A 21,805-nucleotide genomic window follows, 5' to 3' on the forward strand; every position below is an offset into this window, starting at 1 on the left:
GCATGTAATCCCAACACTTTGGGAGGCCGAGGTGGGCGGATCACGAGGTCAGGAGATCGAGACCATATTGGCTAACACGGTGAAACCCTGTCTCTACTAAAAATACAAAAAAATTTGCCAGGCGTGGTGGCAGGCGCCTGCAGTCCCAGCTACTCGGGAGGCTGAGGCAGGAGAATGGCGTGAACCCAGGAGGAGGCGGAGCTTGCAGTGAGCCGAGATCGCACCACTGCACTCCAGCCTGGGCAACAGAGCAAGACTCCGTCTCAAAAAAAAAAAAAAAAATTTTTTTTAAAGTAGCAATGAGGTCTCGCCATTTTGCCCAGGCTTGTTTCAAACTCCTGGGCTCAAGTGATCCTCCTGCCTTGGCCTTCCAAAATGCAGGGATTACAGGCGTGAGCCACTGTACCTGGCTGACAGATGATTTCCAATCCGGTTCATTTTACTTTTCTGTGATTTCCAAGTTTTGACAATGAACATAGAATATTCTTATATTATAAAGATATAAAACATAATATAATCTTATATTAGATATAAAAAGATATAATATAATCTTATATATTATAAAGTTCTTATAAAAGAACTCAGTGAATGTTCTTTTTAAAATAAATTATCCAAGTTTCCCAACAGTACCGTTCTGACAAGACACTATACAAGAAGTTCCTGAGAAATGCTGCACAGATGAACCCAAGTTATTTCTGGAGCAGCAGGTGTACAGGATGGCGACTCATGGTCACTCGGCAAGGCTGTGGGGGCTCAAATTCAGTGAGAAAAATACTCAAGAAATGGCACCTGAACCCAAGCGCCCTGCCCCTGAGAAAAGCACCCTGGCTTCTGGTCAGAGGGCCAGGAATGAATATACTAGGGGCCTGCCGCCCTCTTGCTGTCTGGACAGCCGGAACTCACTGAACCTCTCTGAGCCTGTAAAACTGGGACCATATTCTTTCCCACAGACTAGCTTCAAAAATTTAAGAAGCAATGCATTTTAGGTGCTAAGAGTTAGATATATAGTAAACCCTCAATAAAGCCTACAAAAATGTCCTTCTGTGCTTCAACCACAGCCTGCAAAAGTCATATTGCCTTGTGGGTCCGCTGCAGGGGTGCACCCCACAGAAGTATCCCAGATTCAACCCAGGAAACATAAGCAACTTCCACAATCAAAGCCACAGACCTCCTTTGCAGCTCCCTAAAAATCTGCTTTCCCTCATTCAGCCGCCAAGCTAACCTGCTACCGGGGTTATGACCACAGGGCATGCTCCCAGTACAGGAGCCCAGGAGCACCCGCCCACTTCACCTTAGACCCAAGAATTCGCATTTGCCCTGCAAGGTGCTGCAGGCTAATAAAGCCTGGGGCCCCACAGGCTCGACAGTCATTGAATCTTTGGAGACTCTATTTCCAGGACAGGCAAACCCAGGGACTCGGAAGGTAACTCCCCCAGATTTCTAGGAACACACAAAGAGACGAGGTCTGCATCAAGATTTACCATCTACTCCAACCCACCGGTCCCCCACCTGCCCTCCTTGCAGAGCTGAGCTTGATCGGGGTGGGGAGGGGAAACTTGACTACCTCCTCAAAATACCCCCACTCATCCAGCCTGCTTCCTTTGAAGCAACCGAAGTGGACGCTTCTCGTTAAACTCGAAGCTCGTTAGAAATGACACATTTTACAGCTCAGCTGGGTTCACCCTCCTAGCGCCGAGCCCAGGCCGGGCACCGATCGCTGCAGCCGCAGCAGCACGCGGCCCGGGCTGTTCTTCCCCTGCTTGGGGCTCGAGCCATTTTCGGAAGTTCCCGGGGACCGCGGAGCGGCTAGCGCGCCCGGCCCCGGGTTGCAGGGGCCCCGCCCGGCCCGGCCCCTGGCGCCCCCGCAGCGGCCGCTTCCCCCCGCGCCCGGCAGGCAATGGGCCTGGAGGAGAAGCTGCCAGGCGCCCCGGCGAGGCCTCGGTGGCTTCACCCCGCCCCGGCGCACGGAGGGCCGCACATCCCGGGCGACCCGCGCTCGGCCCGGGGAGCGGCGGAGCCCCAGGGCCGGGCCCGGCCGGAGGGAGCCGCCCCACGCCCGCGCCTCACCTGCTTTCTCGATCTTGCCGGACATTTCCGGGCTGCGCCGGAGGCCGAGGCCGCCGCTCATCGGGCCCGGGCCGGGCCGCCGCGGGGCGACAGGGGCGGCGCGCCCGCCGCTCGCCTCGGCCCTGGCTCGCCACGCCTCAGACCCGCGCCGGCATGGCGGGCTCCGCGCGGCCGCGGCCCTGCGCTCGGCGACCGCGCTCCAGCCCGCCCGGGCCCAGCCGCTCCCGCCGCGCCCGCCGCCGCCGCTCCGCCTCCCGCGCGCCCGCCGCCGCTCCCCCGGCCCGCGAGCCGGCCGCAGCGCAGCGACGCCGCCCGCCCGCCCGCCGGGCCTCGGCCGCGGCCACGGCCACAGCGCCACCTGCCGGGCGCCCGCCGCGCCGCCACAGCGCCCCCTGTGGGCCCGGAGCCGCCCGAGCCTCCCGCGCGACGCGCGAGACGCAGCGCCCCCTGCCGAGCCGGAGTCCCCACGCCGGGGCCTGGGGCCTGGGGTGTGGGGCCGACCCCGCCTGGGACTCCGCATTCCTCTGCTGTGGGACCAGAGTCACCAGCTCCAGACCTGGGACTGACAGCTCCAACCCAGGGTCCTCGGTTGCCCAAGAGCCTGGCCTGCCCCCTCACCAGAGACACAGAGAACCCTCCTGGGTCAGATTTTCCACCCCAGGACGTGGAACTGACGCCCACCCCACCCTAGCATCATCCCGGACCCAGCATCCCCTGTGGGCCAGAGGCTCCACACCAGGGCCTAGAACTCACTCTCACCAGGACTCAACAAGCTCTGCTGGCTGGGAGCCTGTCCTGACCTCCCCCAAACCAGAGATGCAGCACCCCCTTTTTTGTTTTGTTTTTTGTTTTTGAGACCGAGTCTCACTTTGTCGCCAGGCTGGAGAGCAGTGGCGCGATCTCGACTCACTGCAACCTCTGCCTGCCGGGTTCAAGCAATTCTCCTGCCTCAGCCTCCTGAGTAGCTGGGATTACAGGCACATGCCACCATGCCCAGCTAATTTTTGTATTTTTAGTAGAAACGGGGTTTCGCCATGTTGGCCAGGCTGGTCTCGATCTTCTGACCTCATGATCCACCCACCTTGGCCTCCCAAAGTGCTGGGATTACAGGTGTGAACCACTGCACCCTGCCCGCACCCCCTTCTTAATTGGAGACCCCACACCAGGGCCTGGGAGTGGCCTCATAGCACCTCCTGCCAGCCCAGAGGCTCCAGCCGGGGAATGAGTCCACTCTGGCATGAAAGCCCTCTGCTGGCCCAAGGTCTATGCCAAGGCGGAGGATTCATTCTCCACCCCAGCCCTGCATGTGGGACTCAGTCACCCTGCCAGCGAGAGCCACCTGTCCCGGGCTGGGGTTGGCCCTACTCAGGCCTAAATGTCCCCTGAGGCCTAGAGCCTCCATGCTGGCCTGGGCCCAACTCCCTCAGGGACACAGCACACCCTGCCTGCCCTGCTTATTTGACATCCAGAAGGGCACCCTGGGGCTCAGCTGTGGAACTTTTCTAGTGTGGAAATGAGTTCATTAAAAGTCGTGGCTGGGCACGGTGGCTCACGCCTGTAATCCCAGCACTTTGGGAGGCCGAGGCAGGTGGATCACGAGGTCAAGAGATTGAGACCATCCTGGCCAACATGGTGAAACCCCATCTCTACTAAAAATACAAAAATTAGGTGGGCATGGTGGCACACGCCTGTAGTCCCAGCTACTTGGGAGGCTGAGGCAGGAGAATCTCTTGAACCCAGGACATGGAGGTTGCAGTGAACCGAGATCATGCCACTGTACTCCAGCCTGGTGGCTCCAGAGCGAGACTCCGTCTCAAAAAAAAAAAAAAAGTCGTGGTTGGGCACAGTGGCTCACGGCTGCAATCACAGCACTTTGGGAGGCTGAGGTGGGTGGATGACTTGAGCCCAGGGGTTCGAGACCAGCCTGGGCAATGTGTGAAACTCCGTCTCTACTAAAAATACAAAAATTAGCCAGGCACGGCGGCACCTGCCTGTAGTCCCAGTTACTTGAGAGGCTGATGAGGGAGAATCACTTGAGCCCTGGAGGCAGAGGTTTCAGGGAGTCATGATTGCACCACTGCACTCCAGCCTGAGTGACAGAGGAAGACCCTGGCTAAAAAAAAAAAAAAAAAAAAGGAAAAAAAAAGTCATTTAAGAATCAAAGGATCTGCTAAGTCTAAGCACTATTTCGGGTTCTGTGGGCCCTACAAAAGTGGGCACAATTGGTGCTTCCCTCCAAAGAGTTCACAACTTAGCTGGGAAGTCAAAGTTAAATCCTATAATACAAGTAGTAAATAACAACAAATTAGTAACGCAAGTGATGTTCCAATGTGGGGCAATTCTGCTGCCTGCTTCCTGTTGTTAGTCTAAGATGGAATACAAAGAAGTAGCACGCACCACCTGGGCTAGTTTTCCCTCCTGTTTCCCCCAAAATAAGTAAATTAAATAACCTAGTGATGGGGACAGGATTTGGGGGAGGTGCAGGGAGGAGGAAAAACTGCTAATGTTGTGAGAGATTCTTATTCCCATCTCCCTGGACAGTCTAAAGGGTCACCGATTCCACAACTAAGAGCTAGTCAGGCCGGGTGTGGTGGCTCACACCTGTAATCCCAGCACTTTGGGAGGCCGAGGTGGGTAGATCACCTGAGTTCAGGAGTTCGAGACCAGCCTGGCCAACATGGTGAAACCCCATCTCTACTAAAAATACAAAAAATAGCCGGGCGTGGTGGTGCGCGCTGGTAGTCCCAGCTACTCAGGAGGCTGAGGCACGAGAATCACTTGAACCTGGGAGGCAGAGGTTGCAGGGAGCCAAGATCGCGCCACTGCACTCCAGCCTGGGTGACAGAGCGAGACTCCCTCTTTAAAAAAAAAAAAAAGGAGATGGTCATAGATGGCAGCCAAATTTCCCATCATCATTTCATCAGTTGCAGCCCTCTAGAGGTCAAAGGCAAATCCAAAGATTGACAAATTCATTTCCCTCTTCCACCTGATGAATGGATGCTCTGATCCAGGGTGGCCCTGTTCAGCCCTCTTGGCAGATGCCTTACCAGGCAAAACTGGCCCCTGGTCCCAGGCCCAACCCCAAAACACACTCAATGCTGCCCCCAACCCTTCTAGGCTTCTGAGCTGAGAAGAGCCGATATTTTAAATCCAAAATCCTGGTTGAAAAGTAGAAAACTAGACTGCATGGATACTAGGTGCAGTCAGGGGTTTGTGAGAACACAAATATATTTAATAAATTATGACATATCCAATGACAAAAGATTTGCAAACAACAAAGTACTTTGCAAATGGACATTATGGTAAATCAGGGTCACAGAACTTACTTAATAAAGGCTATTCATCAAAGATGTTTATAACTATAGTAGAACACACACAAGGTAATGAAGCAAACGGATTCCCAAAGCCCAGTTCTGGCTGACTTGGAACCTTCTCATGAGCTGCTCCTGCTGTCTAGAATGTTCCCTCCCCTCCTCTCCACTTGGCTGGTCCCAGTCATCTTTTGCTTCTTAGTTTCACTGTCACTTCTATGGAGAATGCTTCCCTGACACGCCCCAACAGGGCCATCCTCCTGTACTGATTAGGAAACTTGATTTCACTCTCAGAAACCTAGCTCTGCTATTGCTTACAGCAAGAAGGGCATTTTTTGAAGATCATAATTAGTAAACCAGGTGTACAATTAGGTCCAAATGCAGCTAACCCAGGCTCTGGAACAAGGCCATTGGTCCTCTATGTTGGTTCCCTTCTCAGGTCATCTTTCTCTACAAGGTAGCAAAGGGTGAAGCTGGGCACCAGCAGTCCTGGGCCTGTCACCTGCCTGCTTAACAACCCCAATGGACAAAGAGGATCTCTTTCCTCATTGTTTCAAAGAGAGCCCCATGGCAGAGTCTAATTAGCTCAGTTTGAGTCACACGTCTATCCCCAGGCCAATGACTGCAGGAATGGGGTAGAATATGTGACTTGGCCAGCCTAGGAATTGTGCCAATTGTGAGAAAACTTGGGAGCAGAGGCTGTGGAACAGCCTAGCATCTCAGGAAGCTGAAGCAAGAGAATCACTTGAGCCTAGGAGTTCAAGCCTGTAGGGTGCTATGATCACACCTATGAATAGCTACTGCACTCCAGCCTGGGCAATAGAGTGAGACCTGTGTCTGAAAACAAAATAAATTGTAAGATAACAGAAAATAAAGCCCTATTAAGACAAGGGGTCATGCCGGGCTCTTGTACTGCGGCAGCACCAACTCCAGCAGAGGGAAGGGGCTCAGTCAACACTCGGGTGGGTGCTGTCAGGCCTTCTCCCAACATTCCAGGGAAGGATGGGGTGAGCCAGGTGACCACTCTACCCTAGCAGCTCTCCAGACTCCATGGTGGAAGATGGAAGAAATAGTTAGGTGGCTCTGAGCCTGCTCACAGAGACTATTTTAGATGGGGGCCCCTTGCAAAAGCGCCACATCCTCTTCTTGCGTTTGCAGACAACACTCAGCTATTCAGACAACAGGAACTCCACGAGACTCGGGTAGAAAACAGCCAGAGTGAGGCTGGTGGCCAGGGGCCCACCTCAGCTTGGATTGGTGGGATCTGTTAGCAGGCACCTGCCTGAACTCCCAGACACCACTGTCCGTTCCCTGTGGACAGAGAGTATTGCTTCATTACATCACCATTGTAGATCAGAGGAGGAGGTGAAACCATTACTAACAGGAGTCATGGGAATGAGGGCTGATGCTTCCTGAGGGCTGCCTGTGGCTGGGCACTGCTCAGTCACTGCCTCAATCCTGACATGAATCCTGGGAGGGCGGGGTCTAGATAAGAGAGTGTTTGTTTGGTCACGTGTTGTAGATACCTACTTAATGTTGGCAAAGGGGAATCTATTGGTAAAAAAAAAGAATGTCTCATAGGTAGAACCAAAGGGCAGGAAATTCAATACCTCGCCAGCAACTGAACTGCACGTAACAATCACTCACTTTCCCACACATCCCGAGGCCACTTCCTTCCCCAGCTCAGCCGTGAGACCAGACCCGCTAAGGATGCTCAATCCAAACCCAAGTTCCAGGAGAGAGGAGCTGATTGGCCCAGCTGGGGTCAGTGGTCCACCCCTGGCCCAGTTGGGTCTGGCCAGGTGGGTGGGGTTATGTAGGAAGCTGAAGGCCTGAGGGACGCGTGACCAACTCAGCATTCCACTGGAGTCTATATGATCAAACAGCAAACTGTTTATCATGAATGCAAGATGTGAACAAGCTCACGACTGCTCTTGCAGACAGAAGGTTTCCTGGAGGCAATCACTCCCTGGGGCCAAGGCTATCTACTGCGACATCTAGAGCCTGTTGTTCGAGGAATGCAGTCTTACAAGCCTACTCTGGGCCAAGCAGCTGACCCCTTCTTCCACCCCAGTTCTCACTACCTCTTTTGCCTAATAAATACAGAGGGCTGTGTAAAGCTCAGAGCTCTTGTCCACTAGAGGCAAGGTGCCCCCTGACCCCTTCTTCCAAATATACTCTTTTGTCTCTTGCCTTTTATTTCCGTGTTCGCCCCCTTTGTTCAGTCGCCCTAGGTCGGTGCGGGTTACATAGTGGCGCCCCGAACAGTGACAGAATCGGGCTCACAACAGGGTTACATGGTACAAACACAACTGCTAGAGGCTACACTTGTGGGTCCAGTTCTCAGCAAAGGAGGGCTTAGCATAGGTGTACCCTGCATCCTCTATGGCTTGTATTAACTCCATGTGGCTTAGTGGGAGACACGAAGACACATTTCTAGTAAGTGGTGGGGCTGGAACTCACACAGGTCAGCCCGCTCGGAGCTCGTGTTTTAACCATGGTGCTACAAATTCTCTACTCAAACTTCTCTTTATACCTCCTCCCCACAGTGTTTTACATATATGCTTGATCTTGGGTTCAGTTCAATTCAATCCACATAGATTGTATATCTTTAGAGTACTGGGCCTTATGAGAAAAACAAAGATAAATAAGATCTACATGCTGGTCTCCAAGAGCTTCAGGGGTGTTTGGGGGCAGAGCTTTCAAGTCTCAACCAGCTCTTCCAGGAAACCAGCTGTGAGGAATGTTCCAGCCGGGGGTGCCTAACATGCTTTCTGAGTGTGCAGGTATTCATTTCAATTTGGAGCATCAGGCAAGTCCAAATAGAGAAGGCAAATATTTCAGTGACTTTAAATAGGGTCAGTTATGTCATTTTTTTGTTTGTTTATTTGTTTGTTTGTTTGTTTGAGACAAAGTCTAACTCTGTCGCCCAGCCTGGAGTGCAGTGGTGCAATCTCGACTCACTGCAATCTCCACCTCCCGGGTTCAAGTGATTCTCCTGCCTCAGCCTTCCAAGTAGCTGAGATTACAGGTGTGCCACTATGCCAGGCTAATTTTTGTATTTTTAGTAGAGACGGGGTTTCACCATGTTGGCCAGGCTGGTCTCGAACTCCTGACCTCAGGGGATCCACCCACCTCGGCCTTCCAGGGTGCTGGGATTACAGGCGTGAGCCACCGTGCCCAGACGATGTTATGTTTTTATGGAGATTTTGCTCATTATTTGTTACGGAGAATATGAGGCTCCCACATTCCCCCATGCCTTGGGCCTCCATACAGCTGAATCCTGTTCTGGTGTCCATGTCCTTGATATTGAAGAGATGTCCACAGAGATCCTTAGAAAGGCCAGGACAGATGTCTGGGTCATCACTCCACTATCTAAATGTGGGATCTTTCAGGCTGACTCCAGCAGAACAGGCAGCAGATCAGCTTCATGGTAGTTTTGGCCTTTTTTCTCACAAGTAGGGATTCAGGCCAATTAGAAGACCTCTAGATCTCTGTGTACTCAAAGGCTGGTATGAAACAGACACATTTTTGATAATGACCCATAAGGCAACCACACAGCCTTGAGGATCAGGTTAAAATGGAATAGTCAAATTCATAGAGACAGAAAGTAATATGGTAGTTGTCCAAGGCTGGGGGTATGGGAGTATGGTGAGTGACTGGTTAATAGGTACAGACTTTCAATCTTACAAGATATGAAGAGTTCTAGAGATGGATGGTGGTAATGATTGCACAACATGAGTGCACTTAATACTACATAACTATACCCTTAAAAATGACTAAGGTGGGCCGGGCGTGGTGGCTCATGCCTGTAATCCCAGCACTTTGGGAGGCCGAGGCAGGTGGATCACGAGGTCAGGAGATTGAGACCATTCTGGCTAACATGGTGAAACCCCGTCTCTACTAAAAATACAAAAAATTAGCCGGGCGCAGTGGCGGGCGCCTGTAGTCCCAGCTACTCGGGAGGCTGAGGCAGGAGACTGGCGTGAACCTGGGAGGCGGAGCTTGCAGTGAGCCGAGATCGTGCCACTGCACTCCAGCCTGGGTGACAGAGCGAGACTCTGTCTCAAAAAAAAAAAAAAAAAAAAAAAAAAAAAAAAAAAAAAAAAAAAAGACTAAGGTAACCTGGGCATGGCATACTTGTAGTCCCAGCTACTTAGGAGGCTGAGGCAAGAGGATCCTTTGAGCCCAGGAGTTCGAGACCAGCCTGGGCAATATAGTGGGATCCCATCTCTACCAAAAAAAAAAAGACTCAGATGGCAAATTTTATGTAACGTGTATTTTACCACAGTAATCAAAAATTGGTGAAAATATGAGATTATTGGGCCCACAGCTGATGTCTACTAGTGTGAGAGGCCTGGGTGCTGTCATTTCCTTAAACAAGTCTGTAAACCTTACAGATGACCTGATGAATGGGGAAATTGTGCCAGTAATCTGGTAAACAGTGACAAGCAAACAGCAAGCGCACGCACACACACACATCTCTTCTGCCCCCTAGTGAACATCTAGAATTCTAAACTCCATTTGCTTAAAATCTAAAGAGCAATGTACTATCATTTTACAATTCTTTAAATTGTTAAATCTCACAGGAAATATGTGCTCATTTTTTAAAAAATAAAATCAGGCCGGGTGCGGTGGCTCATGTCTGTAATCCCAGCACTTTGGGAGGCCGAGGCGGGCGGATCACGAGGTCAGGAGATTGAGACCATCCTGGCTAACATGGTGAAACCCCATCTCTACTAAAAATACAAAAAATTAGCCGGGCGTGGTGGCAGGCGCCTGTAGTCCCAGCTACTTGGGAGGCTGAGGCAGGAGAATGGCGTGAACCTGGCAGGCGGAGCTTGCAGTGAGCCGAGATCACGCCACTGCACTCCAGCCTGGGCAACAGAGCAAGACTTTGTCTCAAAATAAATAAATAAATAAATAAATAAATAAAATAAAAATAAATAAAAATAAAAATTAAAAATAAAATTAAAAATAAAATCAAACACATATATAAAATAAAAACTGGAAGTCCCACTTTCACTCATAAGAGTTAACAGTTTAATGTACATCTTTCCAGATTTTTCTCTATTAAAAATATATCCATGTACGCTTTTTTTTTTCTTTGAGACAGGGTCTTACTCTGTCTCCCAGGCTGGAGTGCAGTGGTGTGATCTTGGCTCACCGCAGCCTTGACCTTCTAGGCTCAAGCGATCCTCCTACCTCAGCCTCTTGAGTAGGTGGGACTACAGGTGTGCGCCACCATGCCTGGCTGATTTTTTAATTTTTTGTAGGGAGGGGGTCTCACTATGTTGCCTAGGCTGGTCTCAAACTCCTGGGCTCAAGGTGATCTTCTTTCCTCCGCCTTCCAAACTGCTGGGATTACAGGTGTCAGCCGCTGTGCCCAGCCCCATGCACACATTTATGGTGTTTTGTATGAATGAGTTTAAATGGTACACATCAGTTAGCAAGACAGAGGCTGGCTAAATGCTCACCAAATCTATTTTTGGGGCACACAGCTGGACTCGTCTCCCAGTTAGGTGTGGCCAGGTGCTCTGAACAATAGATGAGGGTGAAATAATGATTGCCACTTCCGTGCCCCACTCATAAATTTCTCCAGCACCTGATGGTTGACATTTTCCTTTCTCTTTCAGCTTTGATGATGTGTGGAGATAGAAGGAGCCTAGGTCCCTGAATGACTGTCTGGGGTAGAGCCGCCCCCTCCCAGTGGACCTACTTTGGGCTGTGACATCAGAAAGAAATGTAGCTTTACTGGATTTGTTATAGCAGTTCACCTATCCTGTCCAATGCAATCTAAGACTTGCATTTTTCATTAAGTATATTAATATATTGAACATCTTTCATGCTAGCAAGTATAAGCCTATTGGATATTTTAAGTCATTCAAGTGTATGAATGTATAAAAATGTATTTGATCATTCTCTGCTTTTTTTTTTTTTTTTGAGACTAAGTCTCACTCTATCGCCCAGGCTGGAGTACAGGGATGTGATCTCAGCTCACTGCAATCTCTGCCTCCCAGGTTCAAGCAGTTCTCTTGCCTCAGCCTCCCCAGTAGTTGGGATTACAGGCGTGCACCACCACGCTCAGCTAATTTTTGTATTTTTAGTAGAGATGGGGTTTCACTGTGTTGGCCGGGCTGGTCTCAAACTCCTGACCTCAAGTGATCTGCCTGGCTTGGCCTCCCAAAGTGCTGGGATTACAGGCATGAGCCACTGCGTCCAGCCTCTCATTCTCTTCTTGATGGATACTTATATTAAACTCCTGGGCCCAAGCGATCCTCCCATCTCAGCCTCCGGAGTAGCTGTGACCACAGGTGTGTGCTGCCGCACCCAGTTAATTTTTTAAAAAGTTTTTTTGGGGCTGGGGGTGGTGGCTTACTCCTGTAGTCCCAGCACTTTGGGAGGCTGAGGCAGGCAGATCACTTCAGGTCAGGAGTTCGAGACCAGCTTAGCCAACATGACGAAACCCCATCTCTACTAAAAATATTTAATATAAAAATTAGCCAGGTGTGGTGTCTCATGCCTGTAGTCCCAGCTACTTGGGAGTCCGAGGCACAAGAATCGTTCAAACCCAGGAGGGGTTCTCCTCCAGGGTTTTCTCTCAGGAAATGTCACCTCTTTCCACAGGTTACTCAATTCAGAAGCCTGGGCTTGGGATCCACTGTCACCAACACCTCGAGCCATTGGTCTGCCCTCCAGCCCCACCTCCACTCTCCTTGGGTGTCAGGCCTCGTGATCTTCTGCCTGAGTCACTCCTAATGGGGCTCCACCTCCTTTCTTCTCACAATTTCTTCTCCAAATTGTGGCCAGAGGGGTCTTCATGCTAAACCGACAGTGGTATCACTCTCCAGGTTAAAATGCCTTCAGGGCCAGGCGCGGTGGCTCCCGCCTGTAATCCCAGCACTTTGGGAGGCCAAGGCGGGTGGTTCATAAGGTCAGGAGTTCAAGACCAGCCTGACCAATACGGTGAAATCCCATCTCTACTAAAAATAAAAAAAATTAGCCTGGTGTGGTGGTATGCACCTGTAATCCCAGCTACTCGGAAGGCTGAGGCAGGAGAATTGCTTGAACCTGGGAGGCAGAGGTTGTAGTGAGCTGAGATCGCACCACTGCACTCCAGCCTGGGTGACAGAGAGTCCATCTTGGGGGGGAAAACAAGCTTTCAGATACTCCCCATCTTCACAGCACAGAGCCCAGTCCTATGGTGGTCTTCAGTCTCCTCTCTCCCACCAACCTCACGAGGCTCACGCTCTTCCTCCTGGTCATGCTTAACCAGTGGAGCTCTCTGTGCTGGGCCCACCCCCATCACCTTCCCATCTTCCATCATTGTCCCGATGGTCCCTCCTGTAGGGCTCACTTTAAAGGTAACCTTTGAGAAACCTATCATGTCATGCAGAAGGAGCAGCATTGGAGGAAAAAAGAAAGAACGAGAAACCTATCACTTCAGCTCATCACTCAACCAAAACAATATTTTATCAAGCAGAGTCTAATTCATGCCCAATAAACAGCATCCATTGAAAGTATACAACGTGATGTGTTTTGGCGGATGTCTACACCCATGAAATCACTGCTGTCAGTCAAGATGCAGAACATTTTCTTTCCTCCAAGGGTCTCCTTGTGCCCCTGGGTCCCTAAACCTTCTTCCACCACCAGCCCCAGACAACCACAGCGGTGTTTTCTGTCACTGTAGATGAGTTTGCATCTTTTAGAATGTGACATAATGGAACCATCCAGGTGTGTCCTTTTTTGGTTATATGTCAATTTTAGAATTTCTTTTTTTTTTTTTTTTGAGACGGAGTCTCACTCTGTCACCCAGGCTAGAGTGCATTGGTGTGATCTTGGCTCGCTGCAACCTCTACCTCCCCGGTTCAAGCAATTCTCCTGCCTCGGGCTTTTGGGTAGCTGGGACCACAGGTGTGCGCCACCATGCCCGGCTAATTTTTGTATTTTTAGTAGAGGCGGGGTTTCACCATGTTGGCCAGGTGTGTCTCGAACTCCTGACCTCAGGTTACCCCCTGCCTTGGCTTCCCAAAGTGCTGGGATTACAGGCGTGATCCACTGAGCATGGCCTGGAATTTCTTGGGTTGAGCATCTCCCCCAGCATAGCATAAGATACACAAGGACAGTGTCTGTCTTATGCACATCTGTGCACAGGGCCTGGTACATAGTAGGTGCTGAGTGAATACATGTTGAGTAGATCCGTAAATTCTCCACTCTTTGTTTATCGGGGGCAGGAGCTATTTGGATCAGGAAGATCTTGAGTCTTTTTAGCAAGCTGAGTGACAAGGCGCTTGCTAGCAGAAAAGTACCTTCTGGCTGGGTGGTGTGGCTCACCATGTAATCCCAGCACTTTGGGAGGCTGAAGTGGGAGGGTCATTTCAGCCCGGCAGTTTGAGACCAACCTGGGCAACATGGAGAGATCTCGTCCTACAACAAAGTTTAAAAATTGGCCAAGTGTAGTGGCACATACCTGTGGTCCTAGCTACTTGGGAAGCTGAGGCAGGAGGGTCTCGTGAGCACAGAAGGTCAAGGCTGCAGTAAGCGCTGATCACGCCACTGCACTCCAGCCTGGGTGACAGAGCAAGACTCTGTCTCAGAAACAAAACAAAACAAAACAAAACAAAACAAAACAAAACAGTATCTTCTTGGACATCCGTGTTTCAGGGGTCTAGTATCCCTGGAAACCCAGGCTTCCCCTCCCACTCACACCCCCTGTGGCAGCTGCTAGGCCCACAGTTCTCAGCATGAGGCGTCCTTTTTTTTTTTTTTTTTTTGAGACAGCATCTCGCTCTGTCACCCAGACTGGAGTGGAGTGCAGTGGCATGATCTCGGCTCACTGCACGCTCCACCTCCCTGGTTCATGCCATTCTCCTGCCTCAGCCTCCTGAGTAGCTCAGACTACAGGCACCTGCCACCACGCCCAGCTAATTTTTTGTATTTTTAGTAGAGACGGGGTTTCACCATGTTAGCCAGGATGGTCTCAATCTCCTGACCTTGTGATCCACCCACCTAGGCCTCCCAGAGTGTTGGGATTACAGGCGTAAGCCACTGCACCTGGCTGAGGCATCCTTTTGAAAATCAACTACTTTTTTTAATAATAAAAAAATTTACATTGTGGTAAAATACACATAACGTAAAATTTACTATCTTAACCCTTTGTTTTTTTTGAAGAGGCAGGGTCTCCCTCTGTCACCCAGTGGTGTGATCATGGTTCACTGCAGCCTCAAACTCCTGGGCTCAAGTGATCCTCCTGGCTCAGCCTCCAGAATAGCTGGGATTACAGACACGTGCCGCTGGGCCCAGCTATCTTAGCCATTTTTAAGTGTGCCCTCCAGTGGCATTAAGCACACTCACATTGTTATGCAACCATCACCACCATCCATCTCCAGAATGTTTTCATCATCTTAAACTGTAACTCTGTCCCCATGAAACACTGACTCCCCATTTTCCCCTTCCCCAGCTCCTGGCAACCTACATTCTATATCCTGTGTCTACCAATTTGACTATTCTAGCACCTCATATCAGTGGAATCATCCAGTATTTGTCCTTTTGTGACTGGCTTATTTCACTTAACACACATCCTCAAGGTTCTCCTGTGCTGCAGCATGCGTCACAGTGCCACTCCCTTTTCAAGGCTGAATAATATTCCTTTGTATGGATGAATGGACCACATTTTGTTTATCTATTTGGACACTCGGCTTTTGGCTACTGTAAATAATGCTGTTATGAATATGGGTGTATAAATATCTCTTTGAAACTTTACTTTCAATTCTTTTGGGTATATACACAGAAGTAGAATTACTGGATCGTATGATAATTCTATTTTTAATTAATTAATTTGTTTTTTGAGACGGAGTTTCACTCTTGTTGCCCAGACTGGAGTGCAATGGCACAATCTCAGCTCACCGCAACCTCCGCCAACTGGGTTCAAGCGATTTTCCTGCCTCGGCCTCCCAAGTAGCTGGGATTACAGGCACCACCACACCTGGCTAATTTTTTGTATTGAGTGGAGATGGGGTTTCGCCATGTTGGTCAGGCTGGTCTTGAACTCCTGACCTCAGGTGGTCCACCCACCTCAGCCTCCCAAAGGGCTGGGATTACAGGTGTGAGCCACTGTGCCCGACCTTAATTAATTAATGTATTGAGGCAGGGTCTCACTCTGTTGCTCAGGCTGGAATGCAGTGGCATGATCCTGGCTCACTGTAACCTCAACCTTCTAGGCTCAAGCGATCCTCCTGTCTCAGCCTCCTGAGTAGCTAGGACTGACTATAGGCATGTGCCACTACACCCAGCTAACTTTAAAATTTTTTAAATTTAAAAATTTCGTTATGTTGCCCGGGCTGGAGTATGTTGCCCAGGCTGGGTCTCAGCCTCCTGGGCTCAGGTGATCCTTCCACCTTGGCCTCCCAGAGTGATGAGATTACAGGCATGAGCCACCACGTCTGGCAGATTATTCTATTTTTAATTATTTCAGATACCACAGTACTGTTTTCTCAGCGGCTGCATCAATTTACATTTCCATCAACAGTGCATCAGGATTTCATTTTCTCCACATCCTCATCAACACTTTCTTTTCTTTTTTTTTTCTTTTTTTTTTTTTTTTTTATGAGACAGAGTCTTGCCCTGTTGCCCAGGCTGGAGTGCAGTGGCATGATCTCAGCTCACTACAACCTTTGCCTCCTGGGTTCGAATGATTTTCCTGCTTCAGCCTCCTGAGTAGCTGGGACTACAGGCATGTGCCACCACGCCCAGCTATTTTTTGCATTTTTAGTAGGGATGGGGTTTCACCATATTGGCCAGACTGGTCTCAAGCTCCTGACCTCCAGTGATCTACCCACCTCAGCCTCCCGAAGTGCTGGGATTACAGGCGTGAGCCACCGCGCCCAGCCTATTTTCTGCTGTTTTATAATAGCCATCCTAATGGATGTGAGGGAAAGCCGACTTCTGAGAACTGGCTTTTGTTTTGTTTTGTTTTGTTTTGTTTAGTTTAGTTTTGTGTTTTTTGAGATGGAGTCTTGCACTGTCGCCCAGCCTGGAGTGCAGCAGTGCGATCTTGGCTCACTGCAACCTCCGCCTCCTGGGTTCAAGTGATTCTCCTGCCTCAGCCTCCCAAGTAGCTGGGATTACAGGCAACGGCCCCTACGCCCGGCTAATTTTTTGTATTTTTAGGAGAGACAGGGTTTCACCATGTTGGCCAGGCTGGTCTCAAACTCCTGACCTCCAGTCATCTACCCACCTCAGCCTCCTGAAGTTCTGGGATTACAGGCGTGAGCCACTGCACCCAGCCTATTTTCTGCTGTTTTATAATAGCCATCCTAATGGATGTGAGGGAAAGCCAACTTCTGAGGACTGGCTTTTGTTTTGTTTTGTTCTTTGAGATGGAGTCTCGCTCTGTCACCCAGGCTGGAGTGCAGTGGCGCGATCTTGGCTCACTGCAACCTCCGCCTCCTGGGTTCAAGTGATTCTCCTGCCTCAGCCTCCCAAGTAGCTGGGATTACAGGCAACGGCCACCACACCTGGCTAATTTTTTGTATTTTTAGTAGAGACGGGGTTTCACCATGTTGGCCAGCCTGGTCTCAAATTCCTGACCTCATGATCCTCCCACCTCGGCCTCCCAAAGTGCTGGGATAACAGGCGTGAGCCACCACACCCGGCCGAGGACTGGCTTTTTACCTCTGCAATGTCTCCTCCCCCCAGAACCCTGGTCCCTTAAATCACACAAATCTCAATGCTGGGAAATCTCAGCTCTGTCTCAACAGCGATTCCTCAGCCTGAGAGCCATCAATGGAAGCCTGGGGCCGTCTGGACTTTTCAGTGTTAAATATGCATTCTCTCCATGCTTGTGAGAGCCTGTTCTAGACGCACCTGGCCGGGGGGCTGCCTGCTGACTCCAGCTCCTGCTTTGTTCCTCCCCCTGCCCCCACCACTGGGAATTCCAGAACAACAAGGCCTCTTGCTCACCTGGATAGCGAGGAGGGGCTGAGAAGACGCCTGGTTGCTGGCTCCGGTTGGCACCCAGCCTTGTTCTTCTCTCTTCTGCCAACTGCTTTTAATTTTATACTCTCTTGTCTTATTTTTATGAGCACTTGTGAGACATGCTTAATTGTTTGTCTTCTCCCAGAACAAGGAGGGTATAAATAAATAAATGAGAAATTCACAAGAGAGTGGGCTGGGCACAGTGGCTCACGCCTGTAATCCCAGCACTTTGGGAGGCCAAGGCGGGAGGATTGCTTGAGCCCAGGAGTTCGAGACCAGCCTGGGCAACATGGTGAAACCCCTTTTCTACTAAAAATACAAAAAACTAGCCAGGTGTTGTGGCGTGCGCCTGTAGTCCCAGCTACTTGGGAAGCTGTGGTGGGAGGATCATCTGAGCCCAGGAAGTCGAGGCTGCAATGAGCCATGATTGTGCCACTGTCCTCCAGCCTGGGAGACAGCAAGACCCTGTCTCAAAAAAAAAAAAAAAAAAGAGTGGTCTGTGGATATAACTAGCAAGGTCTCTTCTACACGCGGACTTAATAAAAAATCGACTCTTCAAAGTCTCCAGGATGTAACCACCACCAGCCTTACAGGTGACTTCACATCCCCTCTTCCTCACCCACCAGCCCCGATGTGGGTGGCATTAGGACCAGCTCTTCCTCCCCAGGGCCCTGCTGCAGTACAGTGAGGTCTTACTGAGTGCTGTGATGTCAGCTTTTGCTGTCACATGGTGGCGCTGTGGAGCCCTGCGTGGCTTTCGGCTCCCCACCTCCTCGCTCCGGCTGCTGTGAATGAACTGCAGGTGCTGTGTGTTTTCTGCTTCTCCCTTCCTCCTGGAGATTCTTTCCTGGGCTTTTTTTCCTGCTCCTATGCCACTGGCACCTTGTGGCCGCCCCCCCCCCCAACCACCCTCACCTTGTCACAGTAATACTTGTTACTGTGTTAGTTCTTTGTTTGTTTTTTAGAGATGGGGTCTTCCTATATTGCCCAGGCTGGACTCGAACTCTGGGGCTCAAGTGATCCTCCTGTCTACAGGTGCATGTCACCACACCTGGCTAATTTTTGTATTTTTTGTAGAGACAAGGTTTCAGCATGTTGCCCAGGCTGGTCTCGAACTCCTGGATTCAAGCCATCCACCCGGGTTGGCCTCCCAAAGTGCTGGGATTACAGGCATGGGCCATCGCACCTGGTGCTTTTTAGTGTTTGTATTGAATAATATTGTTATCGATTTTTTTCGGTTAACAGAAAAAGTTAGAAGGAGAAAGTAAAAACCACTCCGAATCCCACAGTTCTGTGATAACCACTGTTAACATTTTGGCAGAGAGGCTTTCAGACCAGTTTCCCAGAGTACGCTCCCTGGAACACTAGCCCTGAGAAATGCTCCTTAGGGGGAAAACGTGGGGAATCCCTTAGTCAAAAGATCCCGGGAAGAGCCGCATTCTTCTCATTGAGCATCACACATCAGCAAAGTAAAGGCACAGAGTTCAGCTTTGCCCAAATCAGTGAGCCCCTCAGAATCTTCCATGGGAACCCCTGGGATTGCAGCTTGTAAAATGCTATTTTAAGTTCTTTGCTATGAGTGGACCCCATGTATATGCACAAGGCACATTCTTAAAAAAAAAAAAAAAAAGGTTTGGCCAGGCGTGGTGGGCTCACGCCTGTAATCCCAGCACTTTGGGAGCCCGAGGAGGGTGGATCACCTGAGGTCAGGAGTTCGAGACCAGCCTGGCCAACATGGCGAAACCCCATCTCTACTAAAAATACAAAAAACAAAACTAGCCAGGCGTGATGGCACACACCTGTAATCCCAGCTACTTGAGAGGCTGAAGCAGAAGAATTGCTTGAACCCAGGAGGTGGGGGTTCTAGTGAGCCGAGATCGTGCCACTGCACTCCAGCCTAGATGACAGTGCGAGACTCCATCTCAAAAAAAAAAAAAAGTTTTACAAAAATTAGAATATACCAAATAACCCTCTTGTAATATTTTTTCTACTCAATATGTTGGCATTTTTTCATATTAATAAGTATAGCTGTATATCATCAATATAGTTTTAAAATTAATTTTTGATAGTACATGCACATGAATAGAGAACCCAGAAAGAGAGCTCTACGAGTATGCCCAGCTAATTTGTTGACAATGATGCAAAAAGAATGCAATAAAGTGGCTCATGCATGTAATCCCAGCACTCTGGAGGCTGAGGCAGGTGGATCACTTGAGCCCAGGAGAGTTCAAGACCAGCCTGGACAACATGGTGAAATCCTGTCTCTACTAAAAAAAAAAAAAGAAAAGAAAAAAGAAAAGATTAGCCAGGTGTGATGGCATGCATCTGTAGTCCCAGCTCTCGGGACATTGAGGTGGGAAGATCACCTGAGCCCAGGAGGCGGAGGTTGCAGTGAGCTGAGATCTCTCCACTGCACTTCAGCCTGGGTGACAGAGTGAGATCCTGTCTCAAAAAAAAAAAAAAAAAAAAAAAAAAAGAAAAAACAATAAAAAGGAACGAACTATGATCTATTGATACATGAAACAATCTGATGAATCTTCAGAGAATTATACTGAGTGAGAAGAGTCATCCTGTAAAGGTAATATATTGTATTTTTCCATTTATATATAATTCTTGAAATGACACAATTGTAGAAACGGGAAACAGATTAGTGGTTGCCAGCAGCTAAAGAGGGGGCAGGAGTGGGAGAGAAGTGGGGTGGCTAGAAAAGGAAACCAGGGCGGATAGTTGTGATGATCGAATGTTTTGGATCTTGACTGTATCAGTGTCAGTAGCCTGGTTGAGATAGCTTTCTATTGTCTTGCAAGCTGCTATCAATGGGTAAAGGGTACCAGAGATCTCTCTGTATTATTTCTTACAACTGCATGTGAATCTACAATTATCTCAAAGTAAAACTTATTTTAAAAAAATCACAAAAGTATTTAGATGATGAAAAGTACATTTCTTCCCCTCCCTGGGAGCAACCACTGTGCTCAGTCTCTCCATCCTTGCTTCTAAAAGCTGTGCTGTATTTCTCTGGGTGGCTGTGCCATATTTTATTGGATCAATGCCATATTGTTAGATGTTTAGGTTGTTCCTAATTTTCACCATTACAAACTGTATTATTATGAGCATCCTTGTATATATCTTTGCTAGAAGTGAGATTTCTGGGTGGAGAAATATGTATGTGTGAAATGCTGAAATGTTGATACATGTGGCCATATTGTCCTCTACAAAGATTGTATCAATTTACACTTTGCCTGAGCGGTTTATCTTCTGACTCTAACAAGCTATTAATACTTTTCTTCCCCACTAATCCACACTTTAAATTAAGAAAGGGTACCACCAATAAAAATCTTGGAGAAACCTTTCTCTGTAGTATTACACACAAACCAGGGAGTCGGGATGGGAAACAAAGGCATAGCTTCCGTATTTATCGAATTTCTAAAAGGCAAATACATCACCTCATCGCATAGACTTTTTTTTTTAAACAGTGAAAGGAAAACGCCATACACTTTACAAGATCAACCATGCCTAGTTTTGTTATAACATTTCCTTTAATCTTCACCTAAAAGAAGCCTTCTTGAAATCCTTTCTATCTTCACTTCCACTGCTCTGAAAAATAAACTCTGTAACCTCTTATTTCCTAGAGAGGAAAAAAGTTGATTTTCACAGTCTAACATGCCCAGCTTAGAACGAAAAAAATTGAACAGTCAATGCCAGACGGAGCATGAGCTCCATGGTGGGGAGCTGTGTTCTGGACCAGAAAGTTCTGGTTGTAACTCACTGCACTGTCACTTATGGGTTAGGGGATTTTGGGCAAGTTATTTAAATGCTCTTAAACCTGTGCTTTTGAGTGTAAAATGGGGATAATAATGGTGATTGACCTTGTAAGACAGGGAATATATGCTTCTACTACAGCTTCCAGGAAGGATGAGCCAGGTAGAGGTAGGGGTCTGCAGAACATCCAGGCAAGAGAAAGGTCAGGACTGGACAGTGGAGCTCCTGACGGCCACCCAGGGCCAGCCATCTAAGCCACTGTCACCAAAGCCACTATAAGCCAGACATTTACTAGCTGTGTGGCGTGCACCACGCCATGCTTCAGTTGCTTCCTCCTCTAAATGAAATTGATAGTAGTACCTGACTTCTAACTTGTTACAAAGCTGAGAAGGGAAAGTCTGCAAAGCACTTAGTTGAGTAAGCAATTAAGGGAGGGTGCAATCTGATGATTCATGGAGGCAGCTGCTCTTGCATTTGTATCAATAAAAAGGCTGCTACCTCCCAGACAGGAGAAGCAGGCAGAGGCAGTTTTGGCCAAAAGACTCCAAACCCCCAACTCTTTCCCTGACTCAAATAACCTTAATGCTCTTAGAGTCTGCCTTTCTGCAAACTCCACAAATCAGAATCTGCACACACAGCTTTTTTCCTTTAATTAAAATAGCTCTTATTGCTTTTTTTCATATCACAAAAGT

The 21,805-nt window shown here is 49.1% G+C and overlaps 1 protein-coding gene across 7 annotated transcripts in view, besides 5 other annotated features; it reads right to left on the bottom strand.

Annotated features, from left to right (window-relative positions):
• The window catches only part of RAPGEF1 (Rap guanine nucleotide exchange factor 1), a 163,302-nt gene extending 160,928 nt beyond the window's left edge, over nt 1–2,374 (bottom strand). For all 7 annotated transcript variants that reach the window (NM_001377937.1, NM_001377938.1, NM_001304275.2 and 4 more), the window contains exon 1: nt 2,068–2,374. In NM_001377937.1, coding sequence (NP_001364866.1) covers nt 2,068–2,128 — 61 coding nt within the window. In that variant the 5' untranslated portion in view covers nt 2,129–2,374. The remainder of the gene's footprint in view (nt 1–2,067) is intronic.
• Nucleotides 1,758–2,087: a silencer, noted in NCBI's record as "silent region_20423". NCBI's record gives its function as "represses an Ori minimal core promoter by ATAC-STARR-seq in GM12878 lymphoblastoid cells {active_cell/tissue: GM12878}" and the evidence as "EXISTENCE:reporter gene assay evidence [ECO:0000049][PMID:35858748]".
• Nucleotides 2,138–2,187: a silencer, noted in NCBI's record as "silent region_20424". NCBI's record gives its function as "represses an Ori minimal core promoter by ATAC-STARR-seq in GM12878 lymphoblastoid cells {active_cell/tissue: GM12878}" and the evidence as "EXISTENCE:reporter gene assay evidence [ECO:0000049][PMID:35858748]".
• Nucleotides 2,338–2,597: a silencer, noted in NCBI's record as "silent region_20425". NCBI's record gives its function as "represses an Ori minimal core promoter by ATAC-STARR-seq in GM12878 lymphoblastoid cells {active_cell/tissue: GM12878}" and the evidence as "EXISTENCE:reporter gene assay evidence [ECO:0000049][PMID:35858748]".
• Nucleotides 6,613–6,672: an enhancer, noted in NCBI's record as "active region_29214". NCBI's record gives its function as "activates an Ori minimal core promoter by ATAC-STARR-seq in GM12878 lymphoblastoid cells {active_cell/tissue: GM12878}" and the evidence as "EXISTENCE:reporter gene assay evidence [ECO:0000049][PMID:35858748]".
• Nucleotides 17,393–18,000: an enhancer, noted in NCBI's record as "H3K27ac-H3K4me1 hESC enhancer chr9:134630482-134631089 (GRCh37/hg19 assembly coordinates)". NCBI's record gives its function as "activates a minimal SCP1, AML or CMV promoter by ChIP-STARR-seq in naive H9 embryonic stem cells {active_cell/tissue: H9 hESC(naive)}" and the evidence as "EXISTENCE:reporter gene assay evidence [ECO:0000049][PMID:30033119]".

The sequence above is a fragment of the Homo sapiens genome, chromosome 9, assembly GCF_000001405.40.
Source record: "Homo sapiens chromosome 9, GRCh38.p14 Primary Assembly".
NCBI lineage: Eukaryota > Metazoa > Chordata > Mammalia > Primates > Hominidae > Homo > Homo sapiens.